We start from the raw sequence: 15,776 nt of genomic DNA on the forward strand, positions 1-15,776 counted from the left end.
AGTCCCAGCTACTAAATCCCTCTTTATAGACAGCTCAGTTTGGACCCATTGTCCCAGCTTTGAACTTAGCCATTCTTCAAGCTTGTGAGTTCCAGTACTAGCTCTTCTTAACCCAGGGTAAGAAAGAACTTACCCAGCCCCATTTCCTCACCTCACAAGAAAGATCAAACACAATGATGTTTTAAGACATGGAAAGAAAAGATGTATGTGAAGTCACTTTGCAAACTGTAACACACTGTACAAATATCAAGTATTATCTCATAAAAGAAGCCTTCTCAGGCAACTGAGAATGGTTCTTTTCATATTTTGAACCATAACAGTTGTCTCCAGGGTCCAGGAAAGATAAAGCTAGTGTCAGAAGGGAGGCTTAAGTCATTGAAGAAAAAGGATGAAGGAAAAGGGGCCACCTGTGGAAAGTCAGTTTCAGATGCATCTTATCTGCCCAGACAACCACTGGCTTCAGGCTTCTGCTCGCAGAGCAGTATTAGAAAACACAACTTAGGGATGGCACTGAGGGAGGTCCAAGTCACAGTGTTGAGATGGTGGCAAACAAGAACATCAAAAACTTCAGGCTGGCATCTTCTGTGGCCATGGGCAGAGATCTGCTCAGGCTGCTGTCCAAATTCACTCTGTTGGGCAGAAAGGAGCTGATTTATGTCTCCAGCAGGTATGCCAGAGAAAATTCAAATTGATCAAAAATTAAATATTCATAGGACATTATTCATTAAGATTCATCTCACCGAGTGGATGAAATGAGGCAAGGGAAGAAATTAGCTTGCTTGAGAGTGTCAAAGTGATTATGTGATTAAATTGCAATTTATAATTTCTCCTTCAAAAAAAGCATTACTTCTTGATTTGTGTTTCTCCTCTTGCTGTGCCCCCTTTGATGTCTAGGCCTGAGCCAAGGACACACAGGGTTAATCGGAGACAGGAAGGCTCCTAACACAGTGCCTGGTCTGCTTCCCCTGTCCTTCCCTATCCACCACTGACTCCGAGAGAAGGGCCTTTCCACCCAGCCTCAGGGCTCTGCTCTTGAGGCTGAGAACAGGGCTTCCAATAGCAGAGGCCAGACAAATCCCCACAGTGCCACTCAGTTGGGGGATTTTCCAGCCTCAGGCCACTGCCCCTCCTTCCTCTACAAGAAAAAAGGTACGAAGTACAATTTCCCAGTAGCTCACCAGTCATGCTTGTAGAGCATAACCGAATGGTCTATAGGGAAGTCCACCCTGGCCACCTTCCACACTTAAAGAGAAGGGAGATGTTCTTCCTGTACTCTTGGCCTCCCCTCCTGAACTTGATGTGGAGCTATGACAAGCCTCCTCCAGGCAAAGTCTGGATCAGGTGGTTGACTCTTGAAGCCCACCAGCTGAGAGGCCATCCTTACCTCAAGGTCAACAAGCCAGTACCTCAGCTCCTGCCAAAAAAGATCCCCAGGGAAAGTGAATATCAAAGTTCAAGAACCCAACAGGTTCAGGGCAAGAGAGTAGGTGTTCCCTTGGGTAACCCACCTCCTTCACCAACTGGCATATCCACTCTACCACACCCCCTTTCTGGGGGACTCTCAAATTCGGCTAAGCCTGAATCCAGAGAAGAACCAGGAACACTCCCAAAGGCTTGCCATCCAGAGGCCAAGCAGCTTTAATTTTCCAGCTGTGCTCTCCTGAGCCCTGAAGACCCAGAAGACACAGGGCCTGCCCTGTGCTTGGAGAGGGGAGGGGCTTGGAGGAGCAGCAAGCTCCAAATGGGGCAGCTCCACTTTCATCTGCTTTATACACGGCACTTCTGTGTATGATTTCATTTCAGGAAAAGGTTTTGCTGCTAAAAATAATTCTGAAACCACTGAATTAGATGACCTCTCACAAGCCCCTTCCAGTCCAGGAGCCTCTGATTCTCTGACTTCAATGATAGGGAAGCAAAATGTACTCTGAACTTGACAAAGGCTCTGTTTTCTCCTATCTCTCGCTCTTAGGAGACACAATCTGTCTGTTTCTCCATCTGTCTGTCTAGGATCCAGAGTATAGCTAAGGTGATATGGATGGGTATGGAGGCAGATGGCTAGCTGCGTTTATCTTCCTCTGTCACTCTATCTCCTTCCATCTTCGCCTCTTACTGTCTCTATAACTCTCTGTGTCTCTCTCTTGCTACTACCCAATAAAGATTTAGAGGCTGGTTCCAGCAGCTGAGAACGGCGATATTAATTCCAAGCTTGTTTCCAAACACCACAGAGGTCTACCCGGGTTAATTAGTTGTGCAGGCTTTTCTACAAGTAAGCGAGCCGGCAGGGTTTTTTACAGCTCTGTCACTGTGTTTATTTGTTCGTTTTCTGTTTTGTTTGGAAATACATTTATCTGACAATAAATAACATCCGCCATGACTAGAGCCGATAAAGGCAATGAACAGCCCCTTCAGGGCCTTGGGGGACATAGTGAGAAAGCTTCAAGGTCGGGTCCCCCTACTCCAAGGGGCACTACCAGCCCTTGAGAAAGATGAAGAGGATGTGGGTAAAACCAGTGGGGGGAGGCTAGAAGAAGAGATAGGATCAAGGGCCATGGACATGGCTAAAAGTGAAGAAAGGAAATGCCCACTGAGGAACAGAGCCCATAGCAAGGAGTCAGGAGCCTGAGGCTCTTGGCAAATGGCAGTAAGGGTACCCTTTTGGCATGACAGGGGGGAGGCAGAAGATTTGGCTGTGGATCCCAGTTCCAGCACATACAAGCTGTGTAACCTCAGACAAGTTGCTAACCTTCATGCCTCCGTTTCCTCACCCATAAAACAAGAGTGATATTAACACCCTCTGCTCAGAGTGGTTGCAAATATATCTAGGAGACAATGAAAGTAAATGCACTATGCAAACAATAGAGATTCTCATTTTTCAGATGAAAAGTATTTCTCAGGAGTATATGGTCAAGATTCTAGGCCTCCCTGGGAAAAAATTAATCTAAAATGTTAGAGCAGGATTTGTCCTTGTGTCCAAAGGCTCTGTGCTAATGACTTCAACATGACCACACAGCTTGGCCCATTTGTAAGTTGACCACAATCTCACCAGGGCTAGTTCAGCTCTTGCACAAGCCCCAAATGGGAAGATTCCGTTAGTCTAAACAAAAAAATATTATGGGGAGTACTTCACTGTGAACCACATATACTTATTTAAGGCTTTCAGGGTAAGGGATGAGGAGAGGTGAGGAGGCAGAGGGATCACAGTATGAAACCAAGTAGGCAGAACAGAGTATCGGTAGAGAGTAGAAGCTCCGAGTTCAGCGTGCCTCTTTACATCACTTTCTGACTATAAACCTTAGAGATGCTATTTAACATTTCTATCTCAGTTTTCTCATCTGTAAAATGGGGACAGTGACGGTACCTAGCTCATTGGATTGTGGTGTGAGGAGATGAGATGAAGTATGTGACGTGCTTGGGACAGTAGATGGCACATGGAAGAGCTCAATAAACACTAACTATCCTCAAAACACATGAAAACTACTCAAGAGACATTTCACTTGCGGGCACATGAACTTACTACCAATTGAGAGTCTCAGCGCTGAGGTTGTGCAGTGAAGGAGCATGTCAAATGGTGGGAATTAATCAAGAAATCCTTTCAGGAGGAAGGACAACTTCAACACAGGTTAAAAGAGAAGAGACAGGATAGCACTGCCTGCAGCTGTGCATGTCCTAGCGTGTGTCCCCATTATGCTAGACCCACAGCCAAGAGGAGCCAAGCAACCCCACAGAATTACCAGCAAGCCGCCAGCAGATGGAGCCAGCCACCTCCACACACTGCTGTTCAAGGCACCAGCACCCTCTAAATGGACCGGCACCCAGCCCACGTCCAGTCAGGAGCAGGACTGAGAGAGATCAAGGAAGAGTCACCCTTCACGCCCCTGTGGAGATGATAAGGGTGCTTTCCTGCCCCAGTGTGAGGGGAGAGGGAATCCAGACTCTCCCTGATGCCTCAGAGGCACAGCTCACTGTCAGAGTCCTTGCCATCCTGGAAGCCTAGGACTGCAGCCCAGTGCCCTTGTTGTTCACCTACCCCACTGTGGGAAGGAAAAGCAGGATGCCTGATGAACTTACTTTGAGGGCTGGGACTGCACTTGAATGTAGAGACTGGTATCCATCTGAGTCTGGGAGATTCTGAAAGCAAGAGGCCCACTACAGTAGCCCATCCGGCAGGGCTCGAAGGACCCTGGGGCAGCATGACTGGGAAGAAGATGGGGGCAGCTCTCCCTTCCCAGGTCTGTGGGGCCCTTGAAGGATTATGGGAGAGGATTCCTGCAGGCCCTGTGGCTCTGCATGGAGATGCACGGAAGTCAGTGGAAGGGCAGGAGCTGAGGGTTTGCCCAGGTACCCATGGCCAAGTCAACAAAGGGTCGTTGGGCACCTGTACCACTGTTGAGGCTAAAGAGAGGTGCATCTGTGTGAGGGAAGGAGGGGGAAAGGGTGGTGTTCAGTGATGGAGGAGGGTGGGGTGAGATCTTCAGCATCTAACAGAGCCACAAAGAACAGGAAGGGGAAAAGGACACTCCTGTAAAGAGGTCTCTTACTCTCCATCCCTCCTCTCTGCCCAAATACAGATGCTGAGGCCTCAAAGAGGGAGGAGGTGAGGCATCTTCAAGCCAGGCCCTACTTCCCCTCCACTGCTCCAAACAACCAGGACCCAACTCTCACTTGTGCTGGAGGGAAGGGGAGAGAAGAGCTCTGAATCGAGTTTGCAATGAAAGTTTTAAAAATATAAGAGGCTGAGTCTTAATTACTGGAATGAGACTGTTATAGTAACCGAAAGTGGCTGAAAAGTTATGGAACCAGACCAAGATGTCGTTAAGGGAGCGGCTCCTCAGCAGGAAAGAGAGATCTGGCACAGCACAGCCAGGGCAGTTACTGGAAGAAATAAAATCTTTTCATGTTTATACCCCAACGAGTTGAGACTCCCCAGTGAATCAGGCACACAGGAAGTACCTGGGCCTTGGACACCAGTGTCCCTGTGGTCAGAGTACCCCATGAAGGATGATGTCACGCGGAGCACAACCTCCTCTTCCCATTCAGGTGCTGTCTCACCTCCCAGGGCAAGAGAAGCAGGAGGAATTTGTCCTCCAGCTTTAATGAGGCACTTAGAAAGAGGAACAGGATGGTTTCTTCTTACCGGAATCCTCGATGGAATGCAGGCGCAGGCAGCTGAAAGAGATGGTGCAATTTGCATACTTCTGGTGGATTCCAGGAAGCATCAGCCCCATTTCACCCTAACAGCCAGTGGACTCTGCCTGGGAGGGCCAACAGCCAAAGAGAGCTTTCAGTCTCCAGGCTGAGAAAGTCAGGAGAGGAACAAGTCAGGGGACACCACCAGCCCTGGGACAGCGTGGCAGCATATCCAGAAGATCAGGAAACTGCCGCAGAGGCTTGGTCCCCTACTGGAAATTGAAAGAAAATGAAGTTTAGAAAGAGCAGGGTGGGAACTGGTTTGCAGAACAGAATGTTCCCTTGGCTTATTTTCATCTGGGGGAAAGGGAAGAACTAATACTTATTGAATGCCTGTGCTGTATCAGGCACTATGTTCATTCTTGTCTTATTTAATCCTCCCACAACCCTGTAAGGAAAGCATTTTCTCCATTTTACAGATGAAAAAACTGAGGCAGAGTGGTTGCCTAAGGTCACATGTTGTTGGAATTTGAACTTCATGTTTGTCTGTGTGGTAGACAGACACAGAGATGCCATGCTTACATTGCCCCTTCAATAAAGGACTCACTCCCCTGCTACCAAGAATGTTGGTTTTATTTGCCCCCAGCAATTAGTTCCTTCAAGGACCACCTGAGTTTTTAAGCCACAGTCACTCTCTTCTTAAGGCAGCCCCTAGCCAATGGCTGAGCAAGGTGGTAGTACAAAGGCCCATCCCTCTTCTACCAATGCGGAACTCCTCTAACAAGCAATTTTTGCTCAGAGCACCCTGTTAGACTGGCAGAGGCTTTGTCAAGTCTGCATCAGAAGCCAAGAGCTCCTCCTGGCCAAACTGCTTCCTCCCTTTTCCACTCACAGGTGATCCTCCCCTTTGCACTTCTACCTCTGTTGCAGCATCTAGTTCCAGAGAACCCAGTGGAGACTCCTAACAGCCTGACTGCAAAGCTTTCCCTTTTTCTGACACTTTATCTTCATTTTCACTTGTCCTTAGGTAACATTGCTGCAGTGCAGAGAGTGAGCTCCTTCTTGGTAGCAGGGGCTTCACCCCTTCCAGAAGAAAGCTACTGAAGGTTTAGTGATTAAGGCAGTTTCCAAAGAGTTAGTTATCCTTGATGATTATGTGCTCAATGCTCAAAGGCAGTTGCTAACATTCAGACTTTGAGGTCTAAAGTCCAAGTAAAGAGTCTACCCCCACCTTCTCCCTCTCCCTGACGTCAATTCCACCCCCTTAAATTGCTACAACATGGAATTAAGATATATAGTTTTATTATTTGTTGTGCTTAATGGAAAAGCTTTAGGATTTCTGAGTTTAATTTAAAAAGCAGATGGTCATAAGCAACAAAAGAAACAAATATATAAATTGGACTTCATCAAAACTAAAAATTTTGTGCTTCAAAGTACACTATCAAGAAAGTGAAAAAATAAGCCAGCACCCATAATCCCAGCTACTCAGGAGGCTGAGGCAGAAGGATCACTTGAGCCCAGGAGTTCAAGGCCAGCCTAGGCAACACAGAAAGACCCCATCTCTAAAATAATAATAATAACAAAGAAAGTAAAAAGACAAGCCAATTAAATAAGGGCAAAGAATTTGAATAAACATTTTTTCAAATAAAATATACACATAGCCAACGTGCACATGAAAAGTTGTTCAACATCATCAGTCATTAGGGTAATGCAAATCAAAACCAGAATGACACATCACTTTATATCCACTAGCATGGCTATAATTTTTTAAATGGACAATAACAAGTGTTGAAAAGAATGTGGAGAAATCGGAACTCTCATGCATTGTTGGTAAAACTGTAAAACAGTATGGCTGCCTTGGGAAACAGTTTGGCAATTCCTCAAAAAGTTAAATAAAGAGTTACCATATGACCCAACAATTCCACTCCTAGGTATATATCCAAGAAAATTGAAAACTTGTGTCCACATAAAAACTCATACTCAAATGTTCATAGAAGCATCATTCATAATTTCCAAAAAGTAGAAAGAACCCAAATGTTCATCAATTGATGAATGGATAAACCAAATGAAGTATATCCACACAATGGAATATTATTCAGCCACAAAGAATGAAGTACTGATACATGCCACAACATGGATGAACCTTGAAAACATTATGCTAAATAAAGAAGTCAGATATTAAAGCCCACATATTGTATGATACCTCTTATGTTAAATTTGCCAGAATAGGCAAATCCATAGAAACAGAAAGTAGACTAGTGGTTGCCTGGGGCTGGGAGGAGGGAAAAATGGAGAGTGACCGCTTAATGGGTATAAGGTTTATTTTAGGGTGGAATTAGATAGTGATGATGGTTTCACGACTTTGTGAATATAATAAAAATCACTGAAATGTGCAACTTTAAAGGGTAAATTTTATGATATGTGAGTTATATCTCAATAAAAACATTTTTAAGCTGCTGAGTTGAATATTTTACATTTCCCTAAGGAGACAAAACCACTTCAATTAAGGTGGCTTATTAAGTGACTTTTGACTGATTTCCTCCCCCCCACGTCCATGGTCTTTGATAATATTAAACTGCCTATCTTTGGTCTAAGAGGCTCATATTTCAGATACTTCAGGACAGAGACGAGATTAACTAAAGTCACTGAAGCTTTCGTTTAGGGGAGAAAAGAACACAGCTAGTTGTGACCCAGTGAAAAGCCAGATGTGGCATTAAGGACAATCAGGAGAACAGATCAGTCAACCAGAAAACAGAAATACTAGTCTGTCCTTCCTGTTAGAAAATGAGTTCAACATCAGGGCTTAGAGGACAATCCAAAAGACAAAGGTCCTCTGGCCAAAGCTTGGTCCAGCACTTTGGATCCATTTCCATCGGTTCTTACAGTCAGTCATCAGACCCCAACAGTCAAAGTGGTGAAGCAGAAGAGCAAGTTTGCTTTTCAGGAAGGCTCGGATGCTACAAGAATAAACTTGTAGTTGACTTCTCAGCCACATGATGTGGGCCTTGCAAAATGATCAAGCCCTTCTTTCATTCCCTTGCTGAAAAGTATTCCAGCGTGGTGTTCCTCAAGGCAGATGTGGATGATTGTCAGGGTAGGATGTTTGCTTCAGAGTATGAAGAAATGCATGCCATCTTCCAGTTTTTTAAAAAGGAATGAAAGGTGGGTGGGCTCCAGTTTTTGGAGCTAATAAGGAAAAACTTGAAGCCACCATTAATAAATTGGTCTAATCATGTTGTCTGAAAACATAATGAGCCATTGGCTATTTAAAACTTGTAGTTTTTTTATTTACCAAAAAAATGAAGTATGGAGACTGTATACCCAGCTGCCATCTGATTATAAATGACAAACAAATATTAATTCTACCCTCTAAAACAAAAAAAAGTTATCTGGCCTTATAGGAATAATTCTATCCTGATCTGAGGCCAGTGCCTAGTCCAAGTTGTGAAACTAGATTAAACCACAAACCTCAAGAAAGGATCCAAGACTACGAAGCATCACGTCTTCATAATGAACAACTGATATGGCTCATTAAGTTTATGAAATGGTCATGTCTTCTTTAAAAAAAAAAGAACTAATGACCCACACATATATATACAACTGATTTTTGACAAAATTGCAAAGGCAACTCAGTGGAGAAAGGATAACTTTTCAACAAATGGTGCTGAAATTATTGGATATCTTATCAAAAATAAAAATAAGAAGTCTCTCTGAGCATGCTCTGGCTTAAGAGGCTGGCCAAAGATAAAAAGATTAAATTAAATTAAAAATAAATAAAAATAAACTTCAATCCACACATTTTACTACATACAAAAATTAATTCAAAATAGATCATAGATCTAAATGTAAAACCTAAAACTATAAAACTTCTTAAAAAATAGAAGAAAAATTTGTGTGAACTTGAGTTTCAGGTAAAAATTTCTCAGCTAAGGCACCAAAAATACAATCCATAAAAGAAAAAAATGATAAATTGGACTTCATCAAAATTAAAAATTTTACTCTTTGAAAGACACTGCTAAAAGAATGAAAAGACAAGCCACACACTTGAAAAGACTCTTTGCAGAAGACGTTTCTGATAAAGGTCTTATGTCCAGAAAATATAACAAACTCTAAAAATCCAACAAAAGAAAGCAACCGATTTTTCAAATGAGCTAAAGGTTTGAACTGACACTTCAACAAAGAAGATAGTTGGAAAGTAAGAACATGAAAAGAGGTTCAATATAATTAGTCATTAAGGAAATGCAAATTCAAACCATAATGAGGCACCATACAGACCTATTGGAATGGCTAAAATTTTTTAAATGGCCATACAACTGTTGGCAAAAATGTGAAACAGGTGGAACTTTCATGGTACAACCACTCTGGAAGACAGTTTGGTAGTTTCTTTAAAAGTTAAACACATACGAAACATATTCCAAGGTATTTACCCAAAAGAAAAGATAGCGTAAGTTCAGAAAAGATTTGTATAAGATTCATCATAGCAACTTTATTTGTAATAGCCAAAAAATAGAAACAACCCATTTGCCCATTCATTGTAAAATGGAGAAACAAATTGTGGTGTATCTATACAGTGGAGTATTATTCAGCAATTAAAAAAATGAACTATTGATATGCAGAAAAATGTGAATGAGTCTGTAATTATGCTAAGTGAAAGACTCTTGAAAAAAGGAGTACATATTATATGATTCCATTTATATAAAATTTTTAGAAATACAAACAAATGTATAGTGACCGAAAGCATATCAGTGGTTGCCTGAGGCTGGGGGAAAGGGGCAAAGTGGGTAGGAAAGACAGATGGCAAAGGGATACAAAGAAACTCCAGAGGATGATGAGTATGTTCACTGTCTTGATTTTGGAGACGATTCTGGGGATGTGTTTTAAACTCATGAAATGGTAAACTTTATGTGTAGTTTACTGTATGTCAGTTACACCTCAATAAAGCTAGAGAGACAGAAAAAAAAAGAAAGAGACAGAGAGAGAGAATTCATGAGTAAATATACAATGTATCATTAGGCCGGTCACAGTGGCTCACACCTGTAATCCCAGCACTTTGGGAGGCCGAGGTAGGTGGATCATCTGAGGTCAGGAGTTCAAGACCATCCTGGCCAACATGGTGAAACCCCATCTCTACTAAAATACAAAAAAATTAGCAGGGCGTGATGGCAAGTGCCTATAATTCCAGCTACTCGGGAGGCTGAGGCAGGAGAATCGCTTGAACCCCGGAAGGCTAAAGAGCGAAACTCCATCTCAAAAAAAAAGAAAAAGGGCCGGGGGTGGTGGCTCACGCCTGTAATCCCAGCACGTTGGGAGGCCGAGGAGGGTGGATCACGAGGTCAGGAGATCGAGACCATCCTGGCTAACACGGTGAAACCCCGTCTCTACTAAAAATACAAAACATTAGTTGGGCGTGGTGGCGGACGCCTGTAGTCCCAGCTACTTGGAAGGCTGAGGCCGGAGAATGGCGTGAACCCGGGAGGCGGAGCTTGCAGTGAGCCGAGATCCCGCCACTGCACTCCAGCCTGGGCGACAGAACAAGACTCCGTCTCAAAAAAAAAAAAAAAAAAAAGTGTCATTATAATATCCTACAAAATGGAAAAAATGTGACAGAGACTGCTGCTCAGATTCTGTCCCACCCAAAAGACGGTGTTTCAGGATAGAATGATCCCAGAAAGTCCAGTTGGCTGACACTTCCCCAGATCTTTTATACAAACTTTTCCTTTACTAGAACACCTTTCTCTCACCTTATTGCTGTTGACTATCAACATATTTTTCAAGCCCAGCTCAAATCTAAACTAATCCCTGAAGCTTTCCTTGTCTTCTCCAGGCAGTTAGTTTGTGGCTCAGTCTGTGCTTTCCCAGCAACTGGGAATCCAGTAATATATCCCCCTTGATATTCTAGGATGTAAGATTTGTGGTTTCAGCTGTTCCCAAAAGACCATAAAGGTCCCCCAACTTGTACTGATTTGTCATTTTACTGAGGCACAAATTTGATTCCAGCCAGCTATGAAGTCCCTACAGAGAAGGAGTAGATGAGATAGTGAGTAAGACGAGCCCCCACCTACCCCCAAGACTTCATAACCCAAACCAACTTTGTTGGCATCTGCTTAACATAACAAATTTTAATTTTTCTTTTATGAGGAATGGACTGCCCACCCCACCCCCAACGGAAAAAAAAACTATCATCTGGTGATGGAAATGATGAGTGAGTGAAACAGTCCAAAAATGGAATGGTCCTTAGCCAGAAAATAGCTTTATAAATTACTTTAATCTTGTATTAAGAATCTGGAAGGGTCACTTAAAAATCTTAGTTGTACTTCACAGAATTTTATGGGGAGAAGTTATATACTACAGCGAAATTAACTGGATTAGAAATTTGAAAAGGCTTTGGGCCTTGCCCCTCAATAATGTTAAAAGTTCCCAGTAGCTCTAGTGAGTACTCATCACATTGCATTATAATTATGTGTTTAGCTATCCATCTAGCCTAAGAAGCAGTCATCTACGCCCTAGAGCTACATCATCTGGGTTCAGATCACAGTTCACCTAATAACCAACTTGAACAGGTTACTTAACTTCTAGGTGCCTAGATTTCTTCATCTTTAAAATAGTAAAATAGTACCTAACTAATCACATTAATTTTGAGTATTAAATATGGCAATACATAAAAAGCACTTAAACCAGAGTCTTACCCATCAAAAGTGATTGATAAATGCTAGTAACTAGTTTAAGAGTTTGCTCAAGGGCAGAGTTTATGTCTTAGGGAGCTTTTTTAAAATGTGTAGTTCTCCAGAGGCTTAATGCAGTGGCTTATGCACATACTACGTGCTCAATGAGAGCTGAAAGAATGAGTGAATGAGTCAGTGAGTAAATGAGTTATGGCTCTGCCACTTTGTCCGTAAAGTAGAAATTGCTTTATTCTAGTATAATAGCGGCATTTTGGCTTGGCTGGTCTGGTATTCGGACATAACTAATTCTGGCCAACATTCTCACAACTATCAAATCCACTACTGCAACCAATTTGCAACTTTTGAGAAACATGGTGCTATGATTGAGAGTGAGTAAGAGGAGCAGAAAGGACTGACGGAGGGGCAAAGCTTTACCTCTGACATGGTTTGGATGTGTGTCCCCTCCAAATCTATGTTGAAATGTGGTCCCCAATGTTGGAGGTGGTTCATGGCGGAGATGTCTGGGTCATGGAGGTGGATCCCTCGCCAATGGCTTAATGCTGTCCTCACGGTAATAAGTGAGTTCTCACTTTATTAGTTCACATGAGAGCTGGTTGTTTAAAAGAGCCTGGCATCTCTCTCTTGCTCCCTCTCTCACCATGTGACATGCCTTCTGCCATAAGTAAAATCTTCCTGGGGCCTCACCAGAAGCTGAGCAGATGCCACCACCATGTTTGTACAGCCTACAGAATCATGAGCAACATAAACCTGTTTTCCTTATAAATTACCTAGTCTCGGGTATTCCTTTATAGCAATGCAAAATGGACTAACACCTGTTGACCATGGTGGAGAGATGAGGAATAGAATCTGCCAAAACTGTTCAAGAGATGCAGACAGACAGAGCTGCCTTGGTATTCAGGTAGCACCCTTGCCCCCTGAAGTCTATGTTCAACCCAGCACCCAGTGTCATCCTTTTAAAATGTAAATTGGATCATGTCACTTTCCTACAGAAAACCCTCCAGTGGCTCCTTGTCTCACTTGGAACAAAACCCAAAATCCTCCCAATGGCCTGGAAGGTCATGATCCAACCAGTGGTGCCTCTCCCCTCCCACCTCCTACCTTGCTCCTCCTTGCACTCTCCACTCTTGCCTTTCTGCTGGACACTGGCCTTCTTGGTGTCCCTCAGACACTCCCAGGAGACTCCTGCTTAGAGTCTTTGCACTTTGCTAGTCCCTCTGCCGGGTATGCTTCTCCCCAGAAGTTCATGGCTCACTTTGCCACTTCATTTGAATATCTGCATGAATATCCGCTCCCTTCTCTGTCCACCTACCTAAAACTCCATAACTTTTGTGACTTTATCGTATGCATTGCTCTAGCACCAATACCTGGCCTAGTGCCAGGTACTCAATAAATACTTGTTGATTGATGTAGGTGAATAAAACCCCAGGAATCCACTTGGTTTTTGCTTCTATCTCCCTTCCAGGGCTAAGTCCTCCCCAAGTAGAAGCTTCTCCCTAGTAGTGAACTATCTGTGTCCAAACATAACTCCTGCACCCCCAGCAAAATAAGGGAGATAAAAATGTGTTATTGAAACAAAAAGGAGCTGCTGATTGTATAATCCTCTGGTGGGGAAACTCAGGGATCTTTGGCTTGACAAAATGAGTTTGCATTAGCCATTGTTTTCAGTGAAAGGTGTAAGGTATAAGGCGTTCAAAAAACAGAAGTCCTGATTACTGTGACTGTTCAACAACTTAAGTAATGGAAGGGAATGTGGTATGAAAAGAGAGAAAGAAAAGGAAAAGTCTAAATCATTCATGAGGCTCCCCCAGGGTGGGGTTCAAGAACATGCATTTTAACAAGTTCCCTGATCGATTCTTAAGCAACCAGCTTAAGACAGGTCCTTGGAAATGGGCTTAGAGATTTAGAAAAGGATGAGTTCACACATTATGATGGGAAAGACATGAGCCATTAAAGCCAAAAAGGCCTGGGTTCAAATCCTGCCATCACTGCTTATTATGTTTGTAACCTTCTGCTATTCATACCTCTCAGATGCTGATGTTCAATTTCTAGTTACAATAGATAAATACATCTACCCTATTATACTGTTATGATGACCAAATTGAATAACATATGTAATGTGCCTGGTATATAGTAGTTATATAGATGGTATTTTGTTACTATTATTTTTATGAATTCTGTTTTCTAAGCGCTTACAACCTCCCTAGAATGTTCTGTGGCAAATTGGCATTCTTACCCCTCACCCCACTATGTGACCTGACAGAAGTGAAAACATATAGTCAAAAGGACCAATTCTTCTGCGAATAGGAAAATCTTCAGCCCATACCTTCCCTAGAGTTCCTCTTCTCTAGAATAGATCAAGGAACATATTTTTGCTCTTAACTACCCATTAAGCATTAATAATAAATCCTTATATTTTTAGAGTCTTCACTCTACCAAGGCTTTCACATATATTTCCATTATCACTCACTCTCAGAGGTCCAGCAAGTGGCCTGTGTGCCCACAGCACTGGGACTTAAAACTCATAAACCCTGCGAACGTTCCATCAGATGACATTCCCCATCATCAAGATCTTCCCCTCCGCGGAGACAATAGGGCTCTGGAGTAATGGTGGAGAATGAGAAGGTAGCAAAGTCAATCTCCCAAGCTTGACTCTCCATGAGAAGGTAGCAAAGTCAATCTCCCAAGCTTGACTCTCCACGAGAAGGTAGCAATCTCCCGAGCTTGACTCTACATACCGCAGGGATTATTCCATCCAAATCAGAGGGTGGCAGCAGCGCCGCGTTCCGCTCAAGGCTGCCAGCCTTCTGCGACTCCACAGCCCCACCTGCTGGAGGCTGCCTTGCACACAGCCTGACAGTCCACAGCCCGCCCTGGACTACTGCTCTCCCTGAGTCCCAGACGCCACCCCTCTGGTAGGTACCAGTACAGGCTGGTAGCCTCAAACTTTGACTGAGAGAAGCATCTTTATTTCTTTCACAGTCTATGGTAAATCTTAATCTATTCTGTTGAAAGAACTCTTTGCTTTTTCTGAACTTCAGCTTCTCCCAAGTTGTAACCAGAGAGAGATTTCAGCTCTGGCTTTCCAGGCCCTCCTAGGGTGTTACACCGCAGAATAATAAGGCACTGACTCTGCCAGACGGAAAGAATTGGGACTTTGGAGAGAAAACTGCTATAGATTTCAGAACTAGGGGGATAAAAGCAGCAGCACTCCCCAGGAAACACAGAAAAATGAAGTCTCAGAGAATCAAAGTAAGAAGCCACAAGAAATGGATTGTATTCAGCCATTCACTTGGCTGTATTAAATGAGCACCTACTATGTGGCTGATACTGTGATACATGGGTGAAACAGTCTCTGCCCTTTAAGTCTTTTCACTGGGACTTTCACTGTCACTGGGACACCACCTGTCTCCTAGCCATCTTCCTGTCAGTTTTCCTTCTGTGTTCTTGGTAACCTCATTCCACTAAAAACAAATTCTTCTATATCCACAACAACCTGCAAGAACTTTCACTATACCTTCCTCCTCCTTACCGTAACTGAAGCCTGGCCTTGCCCCAAGGACACTGGTTCCCTTGCAGCCCTCTTAAGGGAAAGCTGCTCTTCCTCCCATGAGTTCTATTTTCCAGCCAAGAAGGGGGCACTTGGGGTCAGCAGTCTCCCAGCTTCCCCTGCCAGTTTTACATGATTACTTTTCTACCTTTGTCAAAGTCCCCCTCATACCAAATGGTTCATTGCCCTCTACTTCTTCTGGCCGTCATTGACCCTGGCCCACAGAGGCTGAGGACTCCCCCATTTACCTTACACATTAACTCCCACCATCATCCTGAGACAAATTGCTGAACCCAATCCATCCCACACCCTAACCTTCCCCTAATCATTTCAAATAACCTTCTGCTCTACTTACACTTTTCAAGGCCACAATTAGACCATTACTACCATAGCTCCACTGCCTCTCAAAAAATCTTTGG

General features: G+C 43.4%; 1 long non-coding RNA gene and 1 pseudogene across 2 annotated transcripts in view; one reads left to right on the plus strand and one right to left on the minus strand.

The window, feature by feature from the left end:
- The window catches only part of LINC02884 (long intergenic non-protein coding RNA 2884), a 130,935-nt gene extending 125,555 nt beyond the window's left edge, over window positions 1-5,380 (minus strand). For both annotated transcript variants that reach the window (NR_183466.1, NR_183465.1), the window contains exon 1: window positions 5,135-5,380. This is a non-coding gene — a long non-coding RNA (long intergenic non-protein coding RNA 2884). The remainder of the gene's footprint in view (window positions 1-5,134) is intronic.
- TXNP3 (thioredoxin pseudogene 3) lies at window positions 7,972-8,434 on the plus strand (annotated as a pseudogene).

The sequence above is a fragment of the Homo sapiens genome, chromosome 1 (genome assembly GCF_000001405.40).
Source record: "Homo sapiens chromosome 1, GRCh38.p14 Primary Assembly".
NCBI classification, from domain to species: Eukaryota; Metazoa; Chordata; class Mammalia; order Primates; family Hominidae; genus Homo; species Homo sapiens.